General features: G+C 38.6%; 1 long non-coding RNA gene and 1 other non-coding gene across 2 annotated transcripts in view, besides 1 other annotated feature; both read right to left on the reverse strand.

The window, feature by feature from the left end:
• Positions 1-7,987: 7,987 nt before the first annotated feature.
• The window catches only part of LOC107986907 (uncharacterized), a 32,533-nt gene continuing 14,650 nt past the window's right edge, over positions 7,988-25,870 (reverse strand). Inside the window, exon 3 of the long non-coding RNA XR_001745763.2 lies at positions 7,988-8,270. This is a non-coding gene — a long non-coding RNA (uncharacterized LOC107986907). The remainder of the gene's footprint in view (positions 8,271-25,870) is intronic.
• Positions 22,799-23,307: an enhancer, noted in NCBI's record as "NANOG-H3K27ac-H3K4me1 hESC enhancer chr8:4985613-4986121 (GRCh37/hg19 assembly coordinates)". NCBI's record gives its function as "activates a minimal SCP1, AML or CMV promoter by ChIP-STARR-seq in naive H9 embryonic stem cells {active_cell/tissue: H9 hESC(naive)}" and the evidence as "EXISTENCE:reporter gene assay evidence [ECO:0000049][PMID:30033119]".
• LOC124900260 (small nucleolar RNA SNORA70) lies at positions 22,987-23,120 on the reverse strand. The gene has a single exon (XR_007061201.1). It is a non-coding gene; the product is annotated as a small nucleolar RNA SNORA70 (small nucleolar RNA).

A 25,870-nucleotide genomic window follows, 5' to 3' on the forward strand; every position in this document is an offset into this window, starting at 1 on the left:
GAGATTAATTTGTCTCTGTCTCTCTATGTCTCTCATACATATACACATATGTCAATGGCTTCCTTTCATACAAGATGTAGGGAGAAAAAAGAGCACTAAACTAAGAATTAGGTGACCTGGTTTCTTATACCATCATTATTAGCTAGATGAAGTCTCTATGTCTTGAGCACCCACACTGATCTCCCTTTACTATCTTTCTCTTTGGTATTATGAGATTGGTTCCTATTAAGAAATTGAATAAATATAATCCTTTGAAATTCACTGTCATGTTTCTTGTAAGAATGTTCTTGAAGATAACTTTCTCTGTAGTACACAAACCTTATTCTATGAAGACCCAGGGGATACACTTCTCTCTTACAAATATTAGATAATAGTTGCGTTTATTTTCCATTTTTTAAAATATGGACAATGCAATTTATTCACTTTGCTTTCTTTCTGTGGCTCCACAAGGTTTCTTTGTACCCAGCAGCTAGTAAATACATAGGCCTTGCAACATAAAAATTGTGGAGAGCTTTAGTTTGTAATGGCTGCAAGAAACAACCAATTAGATTCTTCAATTCAGTTTAAGTCAAGAAGAATTTATTACAAGGAAAGAACTTAGGATACGGTAGCTAAGGGCAGAAATATCTGGTTAAAGTTTCATTAGGAGCCATCAGGGACCAATGAATCCAATCTTGCCCTTTGTCTCTGGGACCCGAGTTCTTTCTGGTGTTCTTCATGCATATATTTAATTATACTCTCTATCTTTACTGGCTTATTTCAACATTTTAAGCAAGGTGGGACTTAATAAACCAAGAACATAGGTTAGGACATCTGTTTAACCTCATTGTCATAATGCGCTATACAATAGTGTTTTGATAGGTAATTTTCAAAAGAAAAAACAAAACTATCTAGACATTTTTATAAAGTACTCTTATTTAAAGTCCAAATTTATAAAAGAAATAGATAACCCAGAGTACTCCCTTCAAATGACATCCATACATAACCTTATAGTTCTATTCCTGAAACTAAGTAAGTGGAATATGAGCCTCATTTCTCAGCAGGAACAGTTGGGACCACCTCAGTTCAGTTCCCCGTGGCCCCACAGCACCACACACCTGATGGGAGCTGCAGGTCACACTATGCAGAGGAAGCATAGCAAAGCAGGCAGGGGACACTTAGCCTCTAAAATATCTGTCAGGTATGCCTTTGGCTTTTCCTAGTTCTTGTTTTGGTTTTCCTGAGTCACCTTATGTATTTTACATGTCAATGTATCCCACAGGCATTTCTGTGATCAGCTATCACCCCTCCTTTGTGAACCAATAGAGACATCATCAAGAAAAGGCATAGCGTGGGCTTCACTGACTCTTTACAAATCACTTCCACAACACCCAGAATGACCGTTTAGATAAAGCACCTGAACAATAGTCATATAGCCCAAGTATAGAAATCCAACATATAGAGGAAATGAAACTTTCTATAAAGCCTATGTATGAAAGTCTGGAACCCCAGTCGAACCTTCCATATATCCCTTGACAGCCCAGGAAGCACCACTTGGCTAGATAATTAATGTTAACTGCAGACATCAATCTCTAGTTTCCAGGTTTGAGAGAGAGAATGATAAGGAATAAAAAGAAGAGAAAAGAAGAACGTTTCTGGTAGTATGACTATACTTTGTAGGCATGGATTTCACATTGCCATTTGCTTATTCAAAGGTAAGTATGACTTCATGCTTATTTCAAGAAGCTCACTGATATTATCCACGTGGCATGCCTTCAATGAAACTAGGTTCCTTCACCTTATGTTACTAACTAACCCAAGATCTTAAAATCAACTTCTGCCGAGCCTAAAATTCCTCCCCTGAGGGATGATTATTTTTTCTATGCAGAGACATTGCACTCTTGTGAAGCTACATGATCTAAAGAGAATGTCCATAATGGAAGTCAGCCACCCCAGTCCTTGTTCCACTTCGAATTCCTCCAGGTATTGGAGACATCATTGGACCTCCTTGAAGGTGTAGCTGTATGTCTCAGTGATGTGTCATGCCCTGGATTCTGCTTCAAAACTCTTGATTAATCAGCGCACACGACTTTTCCATGAATAATTTATCCCAGAATTAATGTTTTATGCTCTGAACTGGGCCCTGCTTTCAAAACACAGGAAGTGAAATTCTCAGAACGGATAAAGGAAAGTAAATATAGAATCCAGAACATTTTAGGCTTGACAGGAAGTTGAAAGAGTTTTAAAAAGTGTTAATTTGTATTTTTTTTTCTATGAGTTACAACTTCTCTTGTGGTTAATGACAAGGTAGGGGAAAGAAGAATATTCGTATTTGCCACTATGGAGAATAAAACGGGTTGATGACTGCAGTATAGCAGGATTACCTGGTAACTTTTCAGTGCTCTATGGAGATTGAAGACTTTAAGGTTTGGGAGGTACGGCATGCAAGAAAGGTTATCCCTTGAAAAATCGCTAATATGAAAGGGGAGAAGGTGGGCAGTTATATTCAACTGAGACTGGAATCTCTCTGCTAATATCCCTGATAAGAGGACAATGAGTAAGAAAGTTGGGAATACCGTCCGGAGACTGTGTCGGGAAGAGGATCACAGAGTCTGCAGCCACAGTGGAGGAAAGCAAAGACTGGAAGCTGCTGATAAATATGAATAAAGGATGGCATCTATGGGCTTATGGTACAAAGAAAATATTTTTTTAAAAGGATTGGTATAGATGTTGGGTCACAAAAAGAGGAGGAATAAATGGCTGTGACCACAAAGGCAGTTCTATTATTTCACAAAAGAAATCAGTCTAGATGATTACAGAGAGAGAGGCTAAAAATTGGGGTCATGAAGGTAGATAGATGAAACCATTGGTTTAGCTTTAAGCAAGTTGAGAAAAAAATAGAATCTAAAGGAGGGCCTGAAAGCTAGGATGGATCACAGCTGAGATCCTAGCCCATAAATACCTTCTCAAACTTGAACTCTTTTTCCTATCACACGCTACTTATTTCAACTCCATATAAGCTGTTTAAAAGCCTCAACATAGCTCTAACACACAATGAGGGATCTTATACTCTTTTTAAAAGTGTATTCTTGGTAAAATTCATAAAAAGTATATTTTTGTAACAAAATGAAGCTATTTCGGTTTTGAAATGTTATCCATTTTGGTGCTGATATGGTATCATCTTTCTCCACAGCCTCAGTTGCTGAAGTTAAATTTTCTTGTCACCAAAAATGACTGGGTGAGAGACCCCATATTGTGAAGGATTCTACTAACAAGCTGAATTTTTACATCATCATTTGGTTTTACATTTCAATCAAATGAATCAACTTGCCAGTTTGAATGTCTTATTAAAATAGTATCACCCTATTTAATTATCTAGTTTAGACAAATTAAGGAAATACCACTTTATAACTTAGGAAGCCTTATCAAGGACACAATAATTTCTGTATGCGTATAATCAAAAGACTTTCATCCTTACTTAAATTGATTCCTCAGTATTAAAGACATATGTTTGAGAATTGTGACCATACCCTAATATAAATATAAAATAAGTAGCAGGAAGGAGTGCAATGGTGGAAAGAAACCACAAACCATCTGCTGTCTTCAGTAGTGTACTTGAATCAAGTTTTGCCAATCCCGACCCACCTACCTATCAATGTATGACCCTAAAATGGTAGATTTATAGTCGTAAGAGGCTTTTTTTTTTTAAAAAAAAACATCTTTCGTTTCTTTATATCTTCTTAAACCGTGTTCCGAATGCCAGCGCTGGTTTTAGTTCAGCTGAAGCTGCCTTGAAGATAAGAGAAGAAGCCAGTTCCCTGAGCCTGTAAAAGCTGTCCCGAAATTTATTTCCAGTTCTGAGTGACTCAGCACCATATCTCTTTTTTTTATTTTTTATTTTTTATTTTTTATTTTTTGTCTGATTACTTGAATGGCAATTTTAAAGGCATGATTCACTTTGTGTCACTAATTTTTATTCTCTAGGAACGTCTGATGACTGGTGACTATTCCAACAAGTGGGAGTTTGTGTTCTGTGCCACATGTTTCTGAAGTCCAAGCATATTTCTTTAAAAAGAGAGTGTGTATGCCCATGTTGTTACAATTAGCAAGAAGGACCAAGTCAAGCCACAATTATACAGTCTGTTTCTAGCTTTTTAAAGCAATAGGAAGTGTTTTCACTGGTGTTTTATAATTTGTTTTTTTTTTGTTTTTTTTTTTGTTTTTTTTTTTTTTTTGGTGGCTGGGGGTGAGTTTTGGGAAAATAATATATTGAGAAGAACTTATCCTTGGTTTTTCCAAAGGGGAAGTGTGGATATATACTTAAACCTACACAACTCTTGGATACTTTCTCATGGTTTTCATCTTGGTAGGTTCCAGGTCACCAGATGCTTTCTAAGCTCTTCTCTTTTATAATGAGGTTATGGAAATCTAGGCAGAAAGGGCCAGTTAATTAATTGATGGATCCCAGATAAGAAAAAATGGGGAGATCACTCTATCATGTAGTGCCTTGCAGGACAGACAGGCTCCAGGTGCACACGCTGCGGGAGAGCCCAGCACATGAGACTCAGCTCTTTCCACGTGTGAGTTGTATCAATGGACCTCAGTTTTGCTCTTTGGACATATTCCACATTTTAACATGCATGATTTAAAGGCAGTTGTAAGGCCCCTTGTAAGACGTTATTTACCCAACCAAAGATTTATGGTCCAATTTACCATCTGGGTGATCCATCACCATCTTAGTGTGGCCAGCCCTCCCTCCATTCCGTTATAGTCCCTGGCTCATTGATTTTTATGTTACTTTAGGCCCCATAACAATTAATACCACCTAAGTTTTGGTGGCATTTAATACAAGAGGTTGACTCAGAATTGCACTTACATGGAGGTGTTGTGTTGTTGTTGTTGTTGCATGGCCTTTCATTATTCCTGATTTATCCTCTTGCTGTATGCATCTACTCATGCCCTGTGAGAGTCATTACTCCCGATTTATCCTCTTGCTGTATGCATCCACTCATGCCCAGCGAGAGGAGCTGGTGTGGGAAAATCAACACCTAGTATTCAATGTGTCCCCTAACAAAAGTTACTTGAAGAAAAGGAGGATTTAAGAAATCACATTTTAATGGATTTATAGTTAAATGTAACCATTAATCCATACACTATGGTGAGCAGAAACGCCTCAATAAATAGGTTCTGTTCATTTTTCACATTCAAGAAACCACTGTTATCTCTTACTTGTTCCTACCAAAAATCAATCTCCTTAGATGTAATTCTAATAATGAAAAATATTAGAATTTGTATGGAATAGGACAGATGTAAAATAAATCCTATGTTTTAGAATTAATTTTTTCAATAAATTTCGGAAATCCAAGCAAATCCTTAGGAACCCAGGAAAGGAAACAATCATTGTAAAAGTTGATATTGCCATATTTAGAATTAATTGCAAAAATTTTGCTGATTCAACTTATGTAAATCAGTGTTTTTTAAATCAGAGAGCATTACTGAAAATGAAATCAAATTGAATTTAATATATAAAGTTTCTGCTTTATTTCAGTTTAAAATTTCTTTCAAAAAGAAATGTTCAGTCAGAAACTTTGTATGAAAACATCATGCACTATAATTTACTTATTGTTTGGAAAACCTTCAGCATAAATAATTTCAGTTTCAGCAGATGAGATTATGATAACTTGAAAGATAGTACTAACTGACTAATAAAAGAGATGAAATCCTTTCCATCAGCATAGCTGAAAAGAAGTTTCTTCTTTTCAGAAGTACAATTCAAAGAGGAGTCCCTACAGCCCTGCATTTCTTGGGTTTATAAAATAATTATAAGATGTTTGAAAACCAATGACTATAAACTTTCTTATACCTTTCTACCTACAAAAAAAAGTTTCTGATTTTATGGCTGAAAAGTAATGTCTTAATACAGAAAATTTGAAGAACACAGAAATTACACAAACACACACACACGCACGTGCGTGTACACAGGAAGCAAGTCTTCCATAATCCCTACCCAGAAATTATTTTGGCACTATTACTAAAATCCAGTTGTCCAATTTTGTGAATCTGTTTCTTCAACTAGACACTTGGTTTTTGATAAGAGTGCCAAGGGAAGTCACTAGGGCTAATGAGCACATCAAACATGCTTACTACGTCATCTGGTAAATGGCAATTATGAACACAAAAAGATAACACTATGCATTCAGTAGAATAGCAATAATTAAAAACACCAACAATACCTACTATTAACAATCATGTGGAACGATTGGAACTCTCATACACTACTGAAGAGAATTTAAAATACTACCACAACTTTGGAAAACAGTTGTCTTAAAAAGTTAAACATGCACTTACCATTTGTCCTAGCAACTTACTTGTATGTATTTACCCAAGAGAAATAAAAACTTACGCGTACAAAATATTGAGTACAAATATCTATGTTCATGATAATCCAGAATTGGAAACTAGAATTGGTATCAACCAGTGAAGGGATACAAAAATTTATTATATCCAGACAATTGAATACTATGTAGCACGGCCATACCACCCTGAACATGCCCGATCTCATCTGAATACCATGTAACAATATAAAGAATGAACTGTTGATACATGTAACAACAGAACTCGATCTCAAAATCAGTGTGCTTAGTGAAAGAAGCCGGTGAAAGAGTGTACAATGTATGATTCAATTTATAGACAATGTTAGAAAATGTAAAGTAATCGATAGCAACACAATCCATACCTTTGGTTGCCTGGGGCTAGGTGGAGATAGGTCTCGACAACAAAAGAACCCAAAGAATTTTTTTTTTTTTTTTAATGGGTGACGTGGCGTGAAGGGAGGAAACAAAAGTATCTTGGATCTTGTCCAAGGTGATGGGTTTGTGTGTGTACATGACTCTTGAACTCATCTAACTGTACACTTTTACTTGAGGCACATTACTATACATAAATTATATTTCAAACAAATTAAATTTTTAAAATTTTTAAAGCAATATTAAAAGAAAAAATCAAGATAGAAATTGAATACAACCTGAAGTAACAACAATGCAAAAGTCCCTGGTCACTGAGTGGGTAGCTGAGAGATTAATAAAATGAAGACGGTCATTTTGTAACATTAAGGACGATGCTTTTTCTCAGTGTTCCAACATTTTAAAATATTTTATAATTTTTAATTTCTATTAATAGTAATAAAATTGAGAACACCATGGCAGAACACTTCATCCTCTGCACTCTGATGAAAATAGTGTTTGTTCCTGCATTGTTCCCGGTGAGACAATTTGGCTGAATGAAACACTTGGATTGCTTTTAATACTGGTACTGGAGGACTCTGTCACAATTTGTCTCATGGATTGTAGAGCGGATAGGACTTCTGTCTCACATTAATACATCCTTAAACTAAAGATTTTTCTCTGCTAGTTTTTTTTTTTTTTTTTTTTCCTGGATTTCTAAGAGCCATAGATGCTTCCCTGATCTTTAGTTCCTGATAGAAGCCTTAATCCTCACAGCTGTGGACAGCGTTGTCAGCTGAAGGCTCACAGTGAGTCTCTCAAGGAGATTGCCTACACTTTCCTCAGGACTTGCCCTCAGCCAAAGATTGCTTCTTTGCTTAAGGTGAGTCTTGCCGTCTGGGAGGAGCTGCAGCCAGTGATTTTTTTTCCAGGATACAGCATATGATACCTCAATTCTGGGCAAATTTCAAGAACTTTCCAACCTCCAGATTCCCTATGATATTGGCTGGGTCGTTTCTTCCAAGGGCATCGCAGTTTGCCTCCCTGTAACCAGCCTTGTCCTTTTACTCACCCACATCTATCACTGGAGTGCTCTCCATACATTTCCTGCCAGAGTATCTCAACCTCAAAGACTAGTTTCCAGAGAATCCCACCTCAGACACTTCATACTAAAACTAGTCTGAAGAAGAAGACTTTATAGTGAGATTTTACAGGTGCATAACGTCTCTTGCCAATTGTCTGACCCTCCCTGGTCTGGAGTGGATTTTGAGTAGACCGTAGCATGCAGTAGCCATGTGGCTGTTAAAACTTCCACTGGTGGAGAATGGGAATAGGGGAACAGTGGAAGAGAATGCACTAGCAGTTGCAATATCCCTGGCAGCTGATAGATGTGTGGGAAGTCATAATTAAAGAGTAAAGAAATTAGGTGGTTCTTAGTAAATGCTATGGATGTACTAATGAAAGGAAAGAGTGATTACTTACCACATTAAGGAAAAAGTGACAGGCATTTGGACATCTCTGGTAACATGCAAACAGAATTCCTGTCTCCCGCCTTTGAAAGGATCAGACCTAGGACGTAATTATAAAGGTCATGAAACTCTGGATAGACTTGGTGTATGATCTGTAGCAATGCTCTACACCAAAGTCAGACCCCGGATGGGAAGGATTGAGATCCGAAGACATGGGATGTAGACATCTGGGCTGCTGCTCGGGACGTCCCCAAGGACATGGACCTCCAAATCTCCCTGGACTTTGGGATCCTGCAAAACGGCCCCACTTCCACCTACTAAAGTCTTGAGCTTCACCTGTCAGATGTTCAGAGACAACGGGGAGACAATGTGTGCTCCTTCAAGTTCTGCCCCACCTCCCCTCATCTCCATGAGAGAAAAATGAGGGTCGATCATAAAACAACCTGACACAGAATGTGTTGACCCCAAGATGAGAAAAGAGGCCGTACCCAGAAGAAGCTTCAGGACATAGCACCGATTGTTGGAGTGGGCACCAATACAATCTGATTGGTGTCCTTATAGAAACAGAAATTAAAGCATAGAGATGAACAGAGGGAAGCCCCCAGGGAAGAAACAGAGAAGGTGGCCATGGGCTGGCTGGAGACACCTTAGCTTTCTTCTTTTAAAAATGGGCACTGTCCAGTGTCATTTTAATAATATAGTCAACTGGGATATAGCACTTAAAGGAACAGGCCTTATCAAATAGCAGTTGCTTTTATGATTAAAATGTATTACATATATACAGTTTATTGTATAATAAATCTCTCTTTATTGTATGTTATTTAAAAAACACATTCACTATAAATGAACCTAAAGTTGTCTATTTAAGTTTGCTTGTCTGTTTTTTAAAATGTGATTTTCAATATTCAAATGAGAAAAATCCTAATTCCTCAATAAAGAAGCCAAAAGTAAAGAACACAAGTCTGAGAAACCTGTGGTGTTTGGAATATTATTCTAATGACACAAAGCCTTCTTATCCACTCCCATCAGATCTTATTCTTCATAGGAGAACTTACCAGTTAATAAATTAAAAACTGTGGGATTGCTCTTAGCTACCAGCTGGTATCAGGTAGGACATGTGGGCACACTTACCTAAGTGTTTCCTCATTGCATTAAGCTCTTTCTTTGTGGGGAACACGTAAGCCATTCCTCACAAGGATAAAAGTTTAAAAAGGGAGCAAACACTTGTTCACAAGAATGCTTTTCAAGGTTTTTATTTGTATTTAATAGGGAAATACTATAAATTATAAATAATGCTGAATGCATTGTCAAAAATTCACTTTATAAGAAATCTACCAAAACTATTTAGAAGTAACTAACATTTTTACAAAATCATATATACAATGAAATACCATCAAAATAAATATGTATCTACACGTTTGACATTTTCTAGAGTATCTGTCAAAATGCTATGAGTGGTTTTTTGGATCATGAAGTTATGTATTTCCGTTACCTAATTATTCACCCTAAAATGTATTTTTCTATCATTAAGACTGTATTATTACTAATAAAAACAAGAGAAAAGTTATATTTACATATTGTATTTATGAAATTTCTCATTTTTTGAACACTCTGAGACTGAAAACTTGCTCTTGTAGGAAAAAAAAACACTTTATTTTTGTCCAATAAAACATTTATGAAGTTTCTCTTCTTCACAAAGTCTCTGCTGGTCATGTATATACTTGATCTCAAAGACATAAACATTAAATGCCGTTCTTGTTACAATCATCGTCTTTCATGAAATTCCGCTCTGGTGTGAGTCCTTTGAATTGAAGGTATGAGCGCAAATGGAACCTTTTATCCCACTTACCATATTAATAAGCTTTATTTCCTCCATAGGACCACAGATCCTTACCTAACTCTCATCTTTAAATGTGTTTTCTCTGTATGAAGCATTTGTACAACATATTTCCCAAGCGTTCCTTCATGCATCTGTGGGCAATGCATTCTAATTTTCCATTGTGAATTGCATGCTTGTTACTAGGCCCCGGGGGGCTGCTGTCCTGCCGTGCATTTCAGCATTTCAGCTGTCCATTACGAATAACGCGGCCACCTGTAGAGTATGACGCTATTTGCTCTTCAGGTGAGGCAAAAGTGCCTACCTAAGAACGCTTCTGTGCATTCCTTCCTTCGAACATTCTCTAGTTAACAAACTGATGTCTCACTTTTGACCATTCCTTGAGTAGTCTTTATTCCCAAAGACATAAAACATAAATACTTAAGATTTTCAATTCCTGGAGTCTCCTCTGTGAAGGCACATCTCATTCCTCTAATTTCTGAAAACAAGAGAGCAGTCTCCTTCTGGAGAGCTGGGTGCATCTTATTTGTATTGATTGTTGGAGAAGCGTTGTTGAGGTGTCAACATGCGGTTCTGGCTCTCAGACATCTTTGGCTTTCAGAGGCCTAAGTGATCACTGTTAGGCATTCTGGACAAAAACATAGATCAACATGTTTCAAGCAGTTAAATCATGGACCCAAGTGATTTGACTTTCAAGGTAGTTTTCAGTCAATTTTCATAATGGCCCCAGATCACTATAGTTCTTTATTGAAAGCTTGTTCTACCCTGCTTTCTGAGAACTCTAAGTTTTTCCATTCTTGCTCAGTAAAGTGGCTGGTGTGATCTGCACATTTTACTAATATTTGGGTGAAGGTCACAATCTAGAGGAGTGTGAACTCTTGTAGGGGAAAAGAACCAACAATTCATTAGTTTTGTGTGTGTGTGTGTGTGTGTGTGTGTGTGTCTATGAAAACACTCTACTAGCATCTTCCTCCAAAATTGACAATATTAAGAAGCCAAATAAAAAGTAAACAAACAAAAACTATGTCTCACCCCTAATTTATTCTGAGGTGTGTTTACTGCATACCATTAAGCATTTTCTAATTAGTCTCCATAATTATAATTGAAGGGAAAACACATGTGTAGTAAGTATTTGGTGTTACTTTTATAAAATATTTTATACTGCAATAAATAGAAACAAAAATGGGGGTGATAAGTTCTATATAACTTGTATCTAATCATAATGAAGTGTAACATATAGAGTCTAAAATACCTCCTAAAGGCATTTCATTCTTCCTCCGTGTTGGAATGCATTGTTTATCAGAATATTCTAATAAAATTTAAAATACACAAATATGTGTTTTTCTTCCATAAATGTGCTATAAATTTGCCTACAAAGTGGAAAAAAGAAATAAAAAGAGGGCCGGGCTTGGTGGCTCAGACCTGTTATACCAGCACTTTGGGAGGCCGAGGTAGGCAGATCACGAGATCAGGAGATCAAGTCCATCCGGGCCAATATGGTGAAACCCCATCTCTACTAAAATACAAAAAATTAGCTGGGTGTGATGGCATGCACCTGTGGTCCCAGCTACTTCGGAGGCTGAGGCAGGGGAATCGCTCGTACTGAGGAGGCAGAGGTTGCAGTGAGCCGAGACCATTCCACTGCACTCCAGCCTGGTGACAGAGCAAGACTCTGTCTCAAAAAAAAAAAAAAAAAAAAAAAAAAAAAGGAAGAAAAGAAATAAAGAGACTCACAATGTATACTTAGTAGATATTGCATAGGGCTCCACTATTTTCTAAATTGATATTTTCATAAGCTGTTAGTCTTTACCCCATTAAGCAGCATATGTATGATTCATCATGTTTTTAAATAGAAAATTTATCCCATGCTGTTGTACTGTCAACTAGGATATAATGTCATAAAAATATCATTAAATGGTTCATGCTAAGACCAAAAGGATACCTGTGTTGTTATGGCAGGAAAGTCCATTTTGACACAACATACCAGGTAGCCGATAAGAATTGATTTGCCTCAGGAGGTGTTGTCTAGTCAGAGAATAAACAATGAATTAGGTGTGGACCTCACATTATAGTTTTTTCTTACAACTAATCAGTCGTGAGACGTTGCCAAAGTTGCTATCTTACAAGATCTTGGTTTCCTTCTCTGTAGAATGCGTAGCTTGAAATGTTTTTATTCTAATGTCTCTTCAGTTATGGCATCTGAATCACAAACGCATCTTCAATGTCTAGAACAGTGCCTAATTGAATGTATTTAATTCAATAAAAATGTATTGAGTTTAGTGTTAAATGCAGAGAAAGACACCAAGAGCTAAAGATAAAATTGTGGGCAGAAGCAGCAAACATTGTCCTAGAACGTGTCTTGTTTAATCTAGGTGGAGTTGGTCAGATATTCCAGCCTAAATGTTCTATGAGTCCAAATAACCATAATTCATAACCATCTAAAATTTTGCCTTGGAAATTTTGTATGACAAGTGAAATATGACCATAAACCACCATTTTCTCTGTTTAAATTTTCACTTGCAGATACGTGGGAGATTGCATATTTTCTTTTGTTAAGTTATTTATAGTTCTTCCTACTCCCTCAACCCCACCAAATATCTTAATTTTCAATTGTATTACTATATCTTGTTTCACATGTACATTAAAAGGCAAAGTTCAGCTCTGTTTTATAAACGTCAGTCAAATCCCTCTACTAATTTTCTTAAACATGAAGTTTGTTGGGGTTTCTTTCACAAGAATTGGTTCTATGTTTAAAGTAATAAAAAGTGCTGTTTTCACATACAAATAAAAGAGAATATTGAGGTTAGTCCTTGGGTTTAAAATCCTAAAGATTATGAAACTTGGTCCTGACTTCCCTTTTCATGTACTGTTATCAATGACACAATGGGCTTGTTTGGTCTTAGATAAGATTTGTGAAAGGGAAAGGAAATGAACTAATATGTATTAAAGATCCGTGGGTGAAGCTGACATCCCCTGCAATTTAAACAAGAGAAGTTGCCAAACAGATCTTGCTGATAAAGATTTTCCTAAGATCACTAATTTTGAATCCCTTTATAATACATAAGGAATGATTACTATGGCGTAGCAAATAATTCCAGACTGGTTTTTATAGCTAGAGATCAGTATTGGTATCTTTACAATGCTAAGCTCAGGAATGAGTAATGGGTTATAATAGAGCCTTTTCAGTGACATTACCATGTTGCTCACTCACACATTTGATGATTCTATCCCATGTTACATAATAAGGGCAAAATATCAAATTAAAATTTTTCATAGGTACATGATATATCCAGTTCCTTCACATAATTAAAAAATTAAAATAAGATCTAAAGACCTTGTAGTTAGCTCAAGATTGCTTTTGCTGTATTGTGATTTTCTTGGGTTACAACATCTAAAACCACTGTTAATCTCGGAGAAGGGATAATCATATAATCTAGCTACCTACCGAAATACCAACAGTCTACAAAGTATCTGAGAAACATAATTACATTTAACTTTTGAGATATGTGATAGTCATCCCATTCTACAGAAAACTATGTCTGAAAGAGTTTTAAGTAATTTAGAGATGGCCTTGCAATCATTAACTTTCTCCTTCTGCCACTGAAATGCAAATCTCAAAATCTATTGTCCCTCCACCTGAAGATTCACTTTTTATTGTAGAATGTTAGTGCAGAAATAGGAATAAAAGGTAGCTCCATGCCTTTCAATTTTTAATTTTCAACTAAGGATCATTGTAATTATATATTTGATACTCTTTCAATTTTTCCTTAGGAATACTTTGTTTTTATTTTTCTTTTTTATGCAAATGTTTCTCCCACTAGATTGCAATCTTCTTGTGGGTGGAAAGTGGCTATTTCTAATCCATCATTTTATCATTCATTGCTCCGAGCATAGAAGTGCTGTCCCTCAACTTTGCCGTGGCAGTTTTTGTTGTTGTTGTTTAGAGACAGGGTCCTTCTCTGTGCACAGGCTGGAGTGCAGTGGTGCAATTATCACTCCTGGGCTCAAGTGATACCCTCTTCTCAGCCTCCCAAGTACCTAGGACTGCAGGTGTGCACCTGGATATTTTATTTTTATTTTTCTCTCTTTTTAAAAAAAATTTCAGTTTGTTCTCTCTCTGCGCAAAATCATTTTATTTATTTATTTTTTTATTTTATTTTGTAGAGAAGGGGGTCTTGCTATGTTATCAGGCTGGTCTCTAACTCCTGGCCTCACAGCATTGGAATTACAGGCATGAGCCACTGCACCTGGCCCTCATGGTGATTTCTTGATAACTGAATTCAGTGTATCCCTGGAAATGCCAATTCCACCAAAGATTGAAAATGTATTTGTGTTATTTTAATGGAATTTAGCCAGTTGTGTTTGATAATTTTCCAAGTATTTAGTTAAATTTAAGAGTCAATTTTAGTAAGCTGATGATTCTTTCTTTCTGCCTTCTCCTCCTCCACGTAGTTTCTATGATCTCACTTTTATGAGGAGGAGTTTGGTGTTCAGTTCCATATCCTGGTCTGGTCCTGGGTACCTCTCCTTGGTCTGTCTAGTGGTGCTTCCTGGGCCCCACTGAGGTGTGTTTTCCCACCGGTTCCCTCACTGACTCACTGCTGATGGGTCCATGAGTGGAGCAGCTGGTTGTCTGTTTCCTCCCACAAGTTCAATATGTAGAGCCAGGCCCACGGGCACTGCTTCCTCCCCACTCCCTGTGATGTGGCCGATCCTCAAAGATGCAGGGCGTCTTCTCTCCATTCTCCCTGGGTTACCCAGCTTATGCTCTTGGATATGGAGTCTCCTGGGTCTATAGGGCAGCAATTCCCTAGCAGCATGCTAATTCTCAATTCTTAGCCATCTTCTGTGTCTCCTATGAGGGCCATGGGACCTTTAATTGTCATATTTCATGCATGCTGGAGAGACAGAGAAGGAATGGTGAGTCAAATGTGTGCTGGGCATCTGCAGGTCCTCTGTCTGTAAACATTACATCGTCATTTTTATTCTACTGTGTGGTGGCCTCCTCAGAATTCCAAACAGAAAGTGGAGGGAAAAGTTTCCTAACAATGAATCCATAAAACTTACATGGAGTTTCTAAGCCCCTGAAACCCGCCGGCACTTTTCTATCAAGAGCAAGCCACGGGAGGTAGGGCCCACTGCAGCCCCGATGCTTTCTTGATGGTTTCTCTGAATTTTCACTCCTTTCCACCCCCAGTCTCAGGTCCAAGAAAAAGGCTTTTATGGCACTCTTGTATCGCATGAGAAAGCTGTTTTTTTTTTTTTCATACTTTTAATCTTACTAATGTTGTCGATTATAGTAAAAATTGTATGATAAGTTCACCAAACCTCTCTCTTGGTATTTCAAGTCCAGCACCGAGTGTTCTTTTCTCACAAGTTTTATAGGATGATAGACCTTCTTCAGAGTGTTTGAAAAGTCCTTTTTAAAAGTTAAAGCTGAAATGTGACTTCTTTGCTCTTGGCAGGGTTATACCTTTCCCAAGAACCAGTGAGGAGTAGCAACATTCATACTTTGTGAATATCACTCATATAGCCTTAGTTTTTCCAGAAACAAAAATTCAAGAAAAAGTTATGTTCACAAATTCTGATCTGCTTCTCTCATTAACAACATTTATTAATCAAACAGCAAATGTTTCTCAAGAGCCTATTATATACCAGGCCTTTCTAAATTCTGGGCTATGATACAGAACAAAAGACACAAAATATATAAAAAGAAACTTAAAAAAATTACACAATAAAAACATATACAAAGCCAATAAGCCCCAAAGATTTTAAGTAAGCAAGAGTTTACGTATTAAGACAAATGAATCTTCATCTTGTAGTCAATAATAATTGGAATCCTGCACTATAAAATTCCATGATTTCACAGAATTATAACCAAAAGAGATTTTACATTCATATAATATGCTAGTTGTTGCCAAGTTCATTGTACCATCTCTGCCTATCTTTATCTCCCAAGATCTTATAGGAGATTTGTGCTTAGCTCTCAATTACCAACTCCTTGCTTCATTTTCACTACAGAAATAGTGGTAGAATTTTCCTCTTTATGTAAGATGTTTCCTAGTTAGACTGGATTTTGTATAAAAGTTTCATGAGAAAATCAAAGAGTGTCATTGTCTTCATATATTTTGTGTATATTGCTAATATAGACATTTTGGGCAATTTATTTTTTTAAATCCTCTTTACCAAACTGCCAGAATGGACAATTACTTGTTAATAATAAATAACTACATTTAATCATTAAGTGCTATATTTAAGCATTAAGTGCTGCCCTAAGTCTATTGTTGTGAAGTATTTCTTAATTTATAGCATGACTCTCAAATTTTTAAGTTAACATCATACTCTGAAAATACACAGCAGGAAAATATAAAACACAATTAGATGCAGTTTCAGAAAAGGTTAGTCACTTTTTTGTCATTTCTGGACAGCGATAAAAGGTTGGGTAAAATTTAGTTTTATTTCAAAATTAGAAGAATGCGTTTTTCTATTACAAAGCTTTGTTACCAGTGGCAAATCCCACAGATCTGCAGCAAACGCCATCTGATCCTTGCCTCCTTGGAGGAAAGAATTCTGCTGAGGGGCAGAAGTAAGTTTAAGGCAGGGGAAGAAACCAAGGTCAGTTTCTGAGCAGGACTGAGAGTTTGTCAAAAAAGTTTCAGAGCAGAAACGAAAGGAAGTAAATAAAGTACACTTGGAAGAGGGCCCAGCGGGTGACTTGAGAGATCCAAGTGCCCTATTTCATCCGTGACTTGGGGTTTTACACATCAGTGTGATTCTGGAGTTTGCAGTTCTGCTCGCTTGATTCTTCCCTTGGGGTGGGCTGTCTGCATGGGCAGTGGCCTGCCAGCACTTGGGAGGGTCCACATGCTCAGTGTGTTTACTGAAGTTGTGCACATGCTCACTTTAGGTGTTTTTCTTTTTTCTTTCTTATTTTTTAAAACTGTCTTAAGAAAGGAAAACCGGGATACATGTACATAACCTGCAGGTTTGTTACATAGGTACGCGGGTCCTGTGGTGATTTGTTACATAGGTACGCGGATGCGGTGGTGCTTCGTTACATAGTTACACGGTTGCTGTGGAGGTTCGCTACATAGGTACATGGGTGCTGTGATGGTTCCTTACATAGGTACGCACGTGCCGTGGTGATTTGTTACATAGCTAGGCGGGTGCCGTGGTGCTTCATTACATAGTTACACGGGTGCCGTGGAGGTTCACTACATAGGTACGCGGGTGCTGTGGTGGTTTGTTACATAGGTACGCAGGTGCTTTGCTACATAGGTAGGCGGGTGCCGTGCTGCTTTGTTACCTAGGTACGTGGGTGTGCAGTGGTTTGTTACATAGCTACGCGGGTGCCATGGCGGTTCGTTACATAGGTACGTGGGTGCCGTGGTGGTTTGTCACATAGGTAGGCGGGTGCTTTGTTACATAGGTACGCGGGTACCGTGGAGGTTCATTACATAGGTACCCACGTGCCGTGGTGCTTCGTTACATAGGTACGCGCGTGCCGTGGTGCTTTGTTACATAGGTACGCGGGTACCGTGGCGGTTCATTACATAGGTACCCGCGTGCCGTGGTGCTTCGTTACATAGGTACGCAGGTGCCGTGGTGGTTCGTTACATAGGTACGCGGGTACCGTGGTGGTTAGTTACATAGGTACGCGCGTGCCGTGGTGCTTCGTTACATAGGTACGCGGGTGCCGTGGTGGTTCGTTACATAGGTACGCGCGTGCCGTGGTGCTTCGTTACATAGGTACGCGGGTGCCGTGGTGGTTCGTTACATAGGTACGCGCGTGCCGTGGTGCTTCGTTACATAGGTACGCGGGTGCCGTGGTGGTTCGTTACATAGGTACGCGCGTGCCGTGGTGCTTCGTTACATAGGTACGCGGGTGCCGTGGTGGTTCGTTACACAGGTACGCGGGTGCCGTGGTGGTTAGTTACATAGGTACGCGCGTGCCGTGGTTCTTCGTTACATAGGTACGCGCGTGCCGTGGTGCTTCGTTACATAGGTACGCGGGTGCCGTGGTGGTTCGTTACATAGGTACGCGCGTGCCGTGGTGCTTCGTTACATAGATACGCGGGTGCCGTGGTGGTTCGTTACGTAGGTACGCGCGTGCCGTGGTGCTTCGTTACATAGGTATGCGGGTGCCGTGGTGGTTCATTACATAGGTACGTGGGTGCCGTGGTGGTTTGCTGCACTTGCTGCACCTGTTGACCGGTCCTCTAAGTTCCCTCCCTCACCCTCCACCCCTCAACAGACCCTGGTGTGTGTTGTTCCTACTTGAGGTGTTTTTCATTTACCACTTGACCATTCCTAGAGGAAGGTCATATACCAGTTAAACTCCACTATTTTGCTTCTTGGTGCCACGTTTGAGCCCACTCACCCAACCCCTGAAATCTTATCAGAAGCTGCTGATCACCAGCGTCAGGTATTTTCTATCTCTTGGGAGACTATCTTTCCCTGGCACTGGCTGCAACTAATTATTACGTTACAGAGATAGTTTAATAACCACCTGACCATCGCTTAATGGTCACCTGACATTCCTGGGGGTTCCCTCTCCTGCCTTACTCATGTCCGCCTAACCTACCTACTCTAACAGCTTCTAAGAACGAGGAAACACGAACTAAAATAATCTTGTCGTTTTTCTTTGATTCATATTCTTTATTAAGTATCTAAATAACAATCTATGTTTCCAAGGGAGTTATACAAACCCTGAATTCTACAACAGAATAAATATTATTTCTACATGTTCCAAAGATCTTATTAAAGCACACACTCCATGTCTGAACAACTCTCTTAATAACTGAGTGTCTGTCTGATCTTTCTATTTACTGGTGAATGCAGCTTGTCTGGTATTATCCTAGTAATTCCTCTGTGTACTTTATCAACCCTTTATGGTGCAACATGAGAAGGAAAGGGGAGAGTTACTAACATTACAAAAAAAAAAAAAAAAGGCCGGGTGCGGCGGCTCATGCCTGTAATGCCAGCGCTTTGGGAGGCCTAGGTGGTTGGATCGTCTGAGGTCAGGAATTTGAGACCAGCATGATCAACATGGAGAAAGCCCTTCTCTACTAAAAATGCAAAAATTAGCTGGGTGTGGTGGCATGTTCCTGTAATCCCAGCTACTTGGGAGGCTGAGGCAGGAGAATCGCTTGAACCTGGGAGGCGGAGGTTGTGGTGAGCCGAGATCGTGCCATTGCAATCCAGCCTGGGCAACAAGAGTGAAACTCTCTCTACAAAAAACAAAGAAAGAAACAAAACCCAGAAGCAACAAGTCTCAGATTTCCCTTATAGAAATTATCTTATTATGCATAATTTTTATTAAACATGTATAGATCAATGATGTGTCATGAATCTTAATTAATATTAATTATCTTAGTAGAAAAATAGCCACTCAGTAGCTACTTATGCTGTCACTTCTAAAGGCAGATTCTTTGAAAACTGTTGTTGAATGTGGCAGAGAGACCCTGAACTGCATTAAAAAGAAAGAAAATGGCTACTCTCATTAAAAGCAAAACCTCAACGCTCACCTTTGCAAATAAAAGCACCAGATTCAAACAGTTCAAACATTACAAGAGGCCAGTGTACATCTTCCTTCAGCTGAGTTAAGTTTCATGAGTCAGGACAACAGTTTTACTTAGGAAGTCTTTTCTTAACATTGGCTCTAGAGAAGGTGTCATTTGCATAAATGTTCTTCCTGGCGTATATTAAAATTGTCCCTAAAGACAATTTGCTGCCCTGCAGATAGAAAACATTGAAAGCTGTTGTTTTTCTCCATAATCATGTGATTTAACAGGTTTAATTCTTTAGCTATAAATAGCTTTATGCTTCTTAAAATAAGGACATACATACGTCATATATGTAAAATTGTTGACACAAATTATTTCTGAATGTTAATGGCGAGCGTGTATTTCTGATTCTTGCCACCTCCATCATTTTCTAAAATTGCAATTGGAAGCAACTCCCTTATTGTTCATTTTTTGTGTGGCTAAATCTGAGTGAAATTCAATTATCACAAAAATAGTTTGTTTTGATTTTGTGTGTCCTGGTACTTTTGAAATTTGGAGTGTGGCCCTATCACTCCCAAGCCATTGTGTTGTCTAAATCGATTGTCTTGGTAGGCTCACACAATGGCGAAATGTTTTCATGAATGCGTATGAGCCACATGCCCCAGCTGAGCACTCAGAAACAGGGGAACAGAATTAAAGTTAGGTTATTGCTCATCTCTTGCCAAACTTTCTCTCCTCCATTCTGTATGGTTTCCTTTGAGATTCAGTGACAGAGAGGAGATGTATCACCTGTTGCCAGAGAGAACAGGCCCCTCACCACCTTCCTGAGCTTACATGATGTTTAAGAACATGTGTTATGGAAGAAACATTAAGAAGTCAAATTTCACAATAATTTTAACAGATATTTCTCTGTTACACTCACACACATTATTTTTAACTAGTAATTGACAGGGGTTTATTATGTGAATAATTCATTTAGGTTTGGCTGCTGCATTTCTGATATTGCCACTGGCTGTTTGTGTGTAGTTTATTCCGTAAATTGTGTAGTAGTACAAGCCTTTGAAAGGAATGGGCTGTGCTATCTATACATGTTCAAATCAAAATATTTGTACTTAGGAATTTAACTTTGCAAAATCGACCTTGCTAAGTCCTTCTCAAACAAGTTTCTTGTTTTGTTTTTGTTTTTTCTTGAATATATTTCATTCATCTCAGAGCTGGGGAAAATGACCTCTGAAAATTTAGAAGACTGGATGTCACTGACTACCAAATGATGATCACTTTTGAATGAACAAAAATCCTTCAGAACTAATGTGTGGATTACAATGTTATTGGTTGAAATAATTTTTATGGTGTTGAAGAAAGATTAACCAATTCAGGGTTGGTATGTGATCTGTGCCACAATTTCCGTGGAAAATAAGTTAGCTCTCTCTTTCTACAAAGACATGATTGTACATCAGTGGCACAAATGAGAAAGTGCTAATAACATTTTGGCGCTGACTACCAAGTGTGCATCTCTTGTCTTACTTAGTTTTGCTTGTTACCTACAGCTATAGAACTCTGAAATTTGGCAAATTGATGGAAATAAACTCAAAGTACCTTATACTGTTTCCTAGAACATTTACAAAGAATACTAAACATCTTATTGACAATGCAACATTTCTTCCAAATGATCAGGAAGAACACAAAATTATTTGTTCAACAAGTATTTTTTGATAGCCTATGCTATGGGCAATGGATACAAAAATAAAAATAAGACATGATCCCTGCCTGCAGAAGGCTTCAAGCCCTGTCATGGAGATAGACACAACACGAGATAATAAAATAGGCTAAGGACTTGTTAGAAGGATGCACTCATGAGAGCAGAGAAGAGAAGAGAATCCAACTCAGGACAAGGAATGGAGGCTGCAGGGAAATTTTCTGAAGGTGATGCCGGAGCAAAGTCCTTACAGAAAGGAAGAGTAGGTGTTGTGTAGATAAAAATCAGGGGGGTTAGCCTTTTAATAACGGGACAGCTTACACAAAGTCCTGTGGTAGGGCACTCCACAGTCTATGCAGGAAATGTAAGTGGGAAAGTCCTTTACAGATGGAGTCAGGAGCAGCCACCAGGTCACTGAGGTCCTGTGGCATCCTGCTAAGGCAGTGGCTCTTAAACAAAAAAAAAAGTTTGGTTTTATTTTTATTTAACTTTGATAGTGACAAGGTTAGATGTGTATTTCAGGTAGGTTTCTAGTGGTTAGGTGGGAAGCAAGACTGCAGCTCTTTCTGTAGGTACTGTTCTGGAGAACCCCAAACAAAGATGAAGGCCTGAAATTCGGCACTACCTGAGGGCCAGCTATGTTCAACCCAGAGGCTCTATCTTCCCTTTTCTTTGTCACCACGTGTACAGTAAAGGAACAGGCAACATGGTGCCAGTAGATTTCTGCGTGAAAAATATTAGAATGGGGGTGGCCAGATTTTTGCATGCTATGCAAATGGCACACCTGGGCTGACCGATATCTCATGCCCTGTGTAAATTAAACACCACCTCCTCAAGCTCATCTATAAAACCTCCTGTACTTCATCGTGGAAGCAGCAACTCATTTTCTCTGGGACCCCTCTCTGTACAGAGAGCTCTTCTCTTTCTTTCACCTATTAAACTTCTGCTCCTAACCTCACTCTGGTGGTCTGAGTCACAGTTTTCCGTGGCTATGAGGGAATGAATCTCAGGTATTACCCTAGGCAATGAAGACATTTCAATATGCCTCATTCTCTTTTATCATTTTATTTGTTTTAACCTCTTCTGTTCTCATGAAAACACAATCCTCATAGAAGTCTTCATGAGATGAACAGTTTTCCCAACACCATTTATTGAAGAGGTTGTCCTTTCAAAGTTGTATGTTCTTGGCACATTTGTCAAAACTCAATTGCTTATAAATGCATGGGTTTATTTCTGGGCTTTCTGTCCTGTTCCTTTGGTCAATATGTTGTTATGTGAGTACCATGCTGTTTTGATTATAAGTGCTTTGTAATATATCTTGAAGTCAGATAGTCTGACGCTTCTTTTTTTTTTTTTTTGACAGGAGGTAGAATTTGTGGGTGAGTGTTAAGAGGGGGCAGCACAGTGGAAGCCCTTATGAATACAGGGCCCACCACTTGTCCAGAGGGCCATGACTGGGGATGTACTTGACCCCATAGTCATCTGGGATGAGCCACTCCTCAACCACCATGTCTTCAAATTCATCCACGTTGAACTTGGTGAAGCCCCACTTCTTCGAGACATGGATCTTCTGGTAGCCAGGGAACTTGAACTTGGCCCTGCGTAAGGCCTCAATTACATGCTCCTTGTTCTGCAGCTTGGTGCAAATGGCCATGATAACTTGGCCAATGTGAACCCTGTCCACAGTGCCCTGGGCCTTTTCCAAGGCACCTCACATGTCTGTTTGGAGCCTGCATTGGGGTAGTGCAAGTTCAGAGGCAAGAACATCCATCTGAAAGCCTGTCTCCAAGGTCCCTTAGAGCAACCCATACAAGAAATGGGCAGCATATACTACAGGGAAGCGGCTGTTTGCAGCCATTGCACATTGGACCCCTATGAGGAAAGGAACTCAGGTGGCTTAACTGGCTGCAGCAGCTTTGTTCTTTTTACTTAAGATTGTGGCTATTTGGGGTCTTTTGTGGTCTCATGCAAATTTAAGAATTTTTTTTTCATTTCTGTGAAAAATAACATTAGAATTTAAATAGTGGCTGCATTGAATCTGTAGATCACTTTGGATAGTATGGACATTTTAACAATGTTAATTCTATTAAGCAATAAGCACAGCATACCTTTCCATTTATTTGTGTGATTTTTAAAAAAATTTTCATGAGTTTTACAGTTTTCTGTATACAAGTCTTTTACCACTTTAAATTTATACCTAAGTATTTAATTTGTTGTTGCTGTTGTAAATAGGATTCTTTTCTTTATACCTTTTCCAGATAGCTTTTTATTAGTGTATAAAAATGCTACCAATTCTGTGTGTTGATTTTGTATCCTGTGACTTTACTGGATTTATTTATCAATTCTATTAGCTTTTAGTGGAGTCGTTACAGTTTTCTCTGTATAAGATCATATTGTCAGCCAACAGACAATTTCACTTTTTCCCTTCCTATTAGGGTGACTTTTATTTATTTCTCTTGTCTAATTGCTCCAGCTCAGACTTCCACAGCTCTGTAGAAAAGTACTGAAAGTGGGCATCCTTGTCTTCTCCCTGAACCCAGAGAAAAGCTGTCAACATGTCACCATTGAGTATGATGTTAGCTACCGCTTTGTCATTTATGGCTTTTATTGTGTTGAGTTAAAATCCCTCTATACTTATTCTGTTGAGAGTTTTTATCATGAAAGGGTGTTAAATTTTGTCAAATGCTTTTTCTTTTTCCTACTTCTATCACAGTGATAGATCTCAAACTCTGGCTTCTGGCTTAGTGTTTATAGGTAAGTAGGCAGTAAAGATAATTATCATAGTATTTAAAGTCAAGAAAGAAATAATTTTGACTGAATATCAAGATATAGTGTGTGTTGGTGTGTGTGCATGCATGTGTTATGGGTGTTTGTTTGTTGAGTTAGCTGCAAAAATGCTCCATCTGTCCACTTTTAAATAGCAATCTGTCAGATTGCATATTCCAAAGAGGGACACAGCAACAGCTCTTATCCTGCATGCTATTTTGCAATGTGATATTGCCACTCTGCCTTCTGATTCTGGGCAAATCCTGTGATCAATGGAAATACAGTGGAAGTGACGCTGTCCAAATCCAGGAGTAGTCCTTTAGAGAAAATGGAGGCTTCTTCATGTTCCTGCCTCACATACACACTTCTTCTGTTGTTTTCTCTTCAGTTCAGCAATGGTGCTATGAGAAGCTCATACATCAAAGAAAAGACATGTGTAAGCACTTGGATCATAGCCCCAGATGACACTCAGTCGATAGAAAACATTGACTGGCATCCATGTTGGTGAAACAACTTAGACATGCAGCCTTTCCCAGATGAGATGGGTCCAACCACTTCTGAATGCAAACGCACGAGCAACCTTAAGCAAGGACTGCCTAGCTCATTCCCATCTACCCACTCAACTAGGAGAGATGACAAATCATCGTCTTAAGTCACCAAGTTTTGGCATCATTTGTTGAACAACAATAAACCAGAACACCCACTGAAAAGGCCATCTGACATTTTTGGAACATTTTCCCTAAATTTGGATCAATCTCCACATTCTAAAAGTCTACATTTTCAACGTAGACTCCAGAAATATACATTTCTCAGTTTGCTTGTGGTTAATGTACAGGCTTGTGAAAGGTTCTTATGCGCCTCCAGACCCCACACAGAGGTGAGCCACTTTAGGACAAAGGCTCTGTGTGGAGAATCCACTCTGTTCTAAGAGTGGCACCTGGGGACATGAGGAAGATTTCAGGGAAGGTTCCTAATGTAGTTTGGTTGTGGGTTGACAATGGCGTGCAAGTTAAACCACCTCATTGGGATGCAGCAGAAGGCCAAGTTGGGGTATGGCTTGCAGCATTTTCCCTGCAATCTTATCTTTGAATATATTTCTTTGGCCATTCTAATAATTCTGTGATTAACTCAATAACCTTTACTTAACATATCATCTACTTAAATGATATAGAGTGAATTCCACATTTTTCGGAGGTTAGGAAACCTATAGAGAACATGATGCATGCATGACCCCCAATTTAGGCACCTGAAGTGAGAAAAGGCATGGCAAGACTTTTTCTCGTCACCTACAGCACAGTCAACAGAAATATGAGGAAAGAGACCTGCAGATTAAGTACAATATGAGGAATCAAGTTAATAAAATTGAATTGTCTTAGAGATTTTAATGAGGAGATTTTAGCTGTTCTTGTTGCACACAAGGAAAGAAACCATGTGAGATGCTACATATGTTAATCTGCTTCACTATAGTCATCATTTAACTTTTGACGATATACCATGACATTATGTTCTAAACATCAAGCATACACAATAAAGTTTATTTATTTATTTTTTTTTTAAATAGGAAGATACAGCTTGAGGAGCCAGGTGCAGTGGCTCACTCCTGTAACCTCAACGTTTTGGGAGGCTGAGGTGCGTGGATCACTTGAGCCCAGGAGTTCGAGACCAGTCTGGGCAACATAGTGTGACCCCAACCTTTATAAAAAATAAAAAAAATTAGCTGACCATGGCGCATGCCTGTAGTTCCAGATACTCAGGAGGCTGAAGTGGGAGCATTGCCTGGGAGGTGGATGCTGCAATGAGCTATGATCACACCACTGCACTCCAGCCTAGGGGACAGAGAGAGACCTTGTCTCCAAATACACAAAAAAATACAGCTCATTACCATGCTTATGCAA

The sequence above is a fragment of the Homo sapiens genome, chromosome 8 (assembly GCF_000001405.40).
Source record: "Homo sapiens chromosome 8, GRCh38.p14 Primary Assembly".
Lineage (NCBI taxonomy): Eukaryota > Metazoa > Chordata > Mammalia > Primates > Hominidae > Homo > Homo sapiens.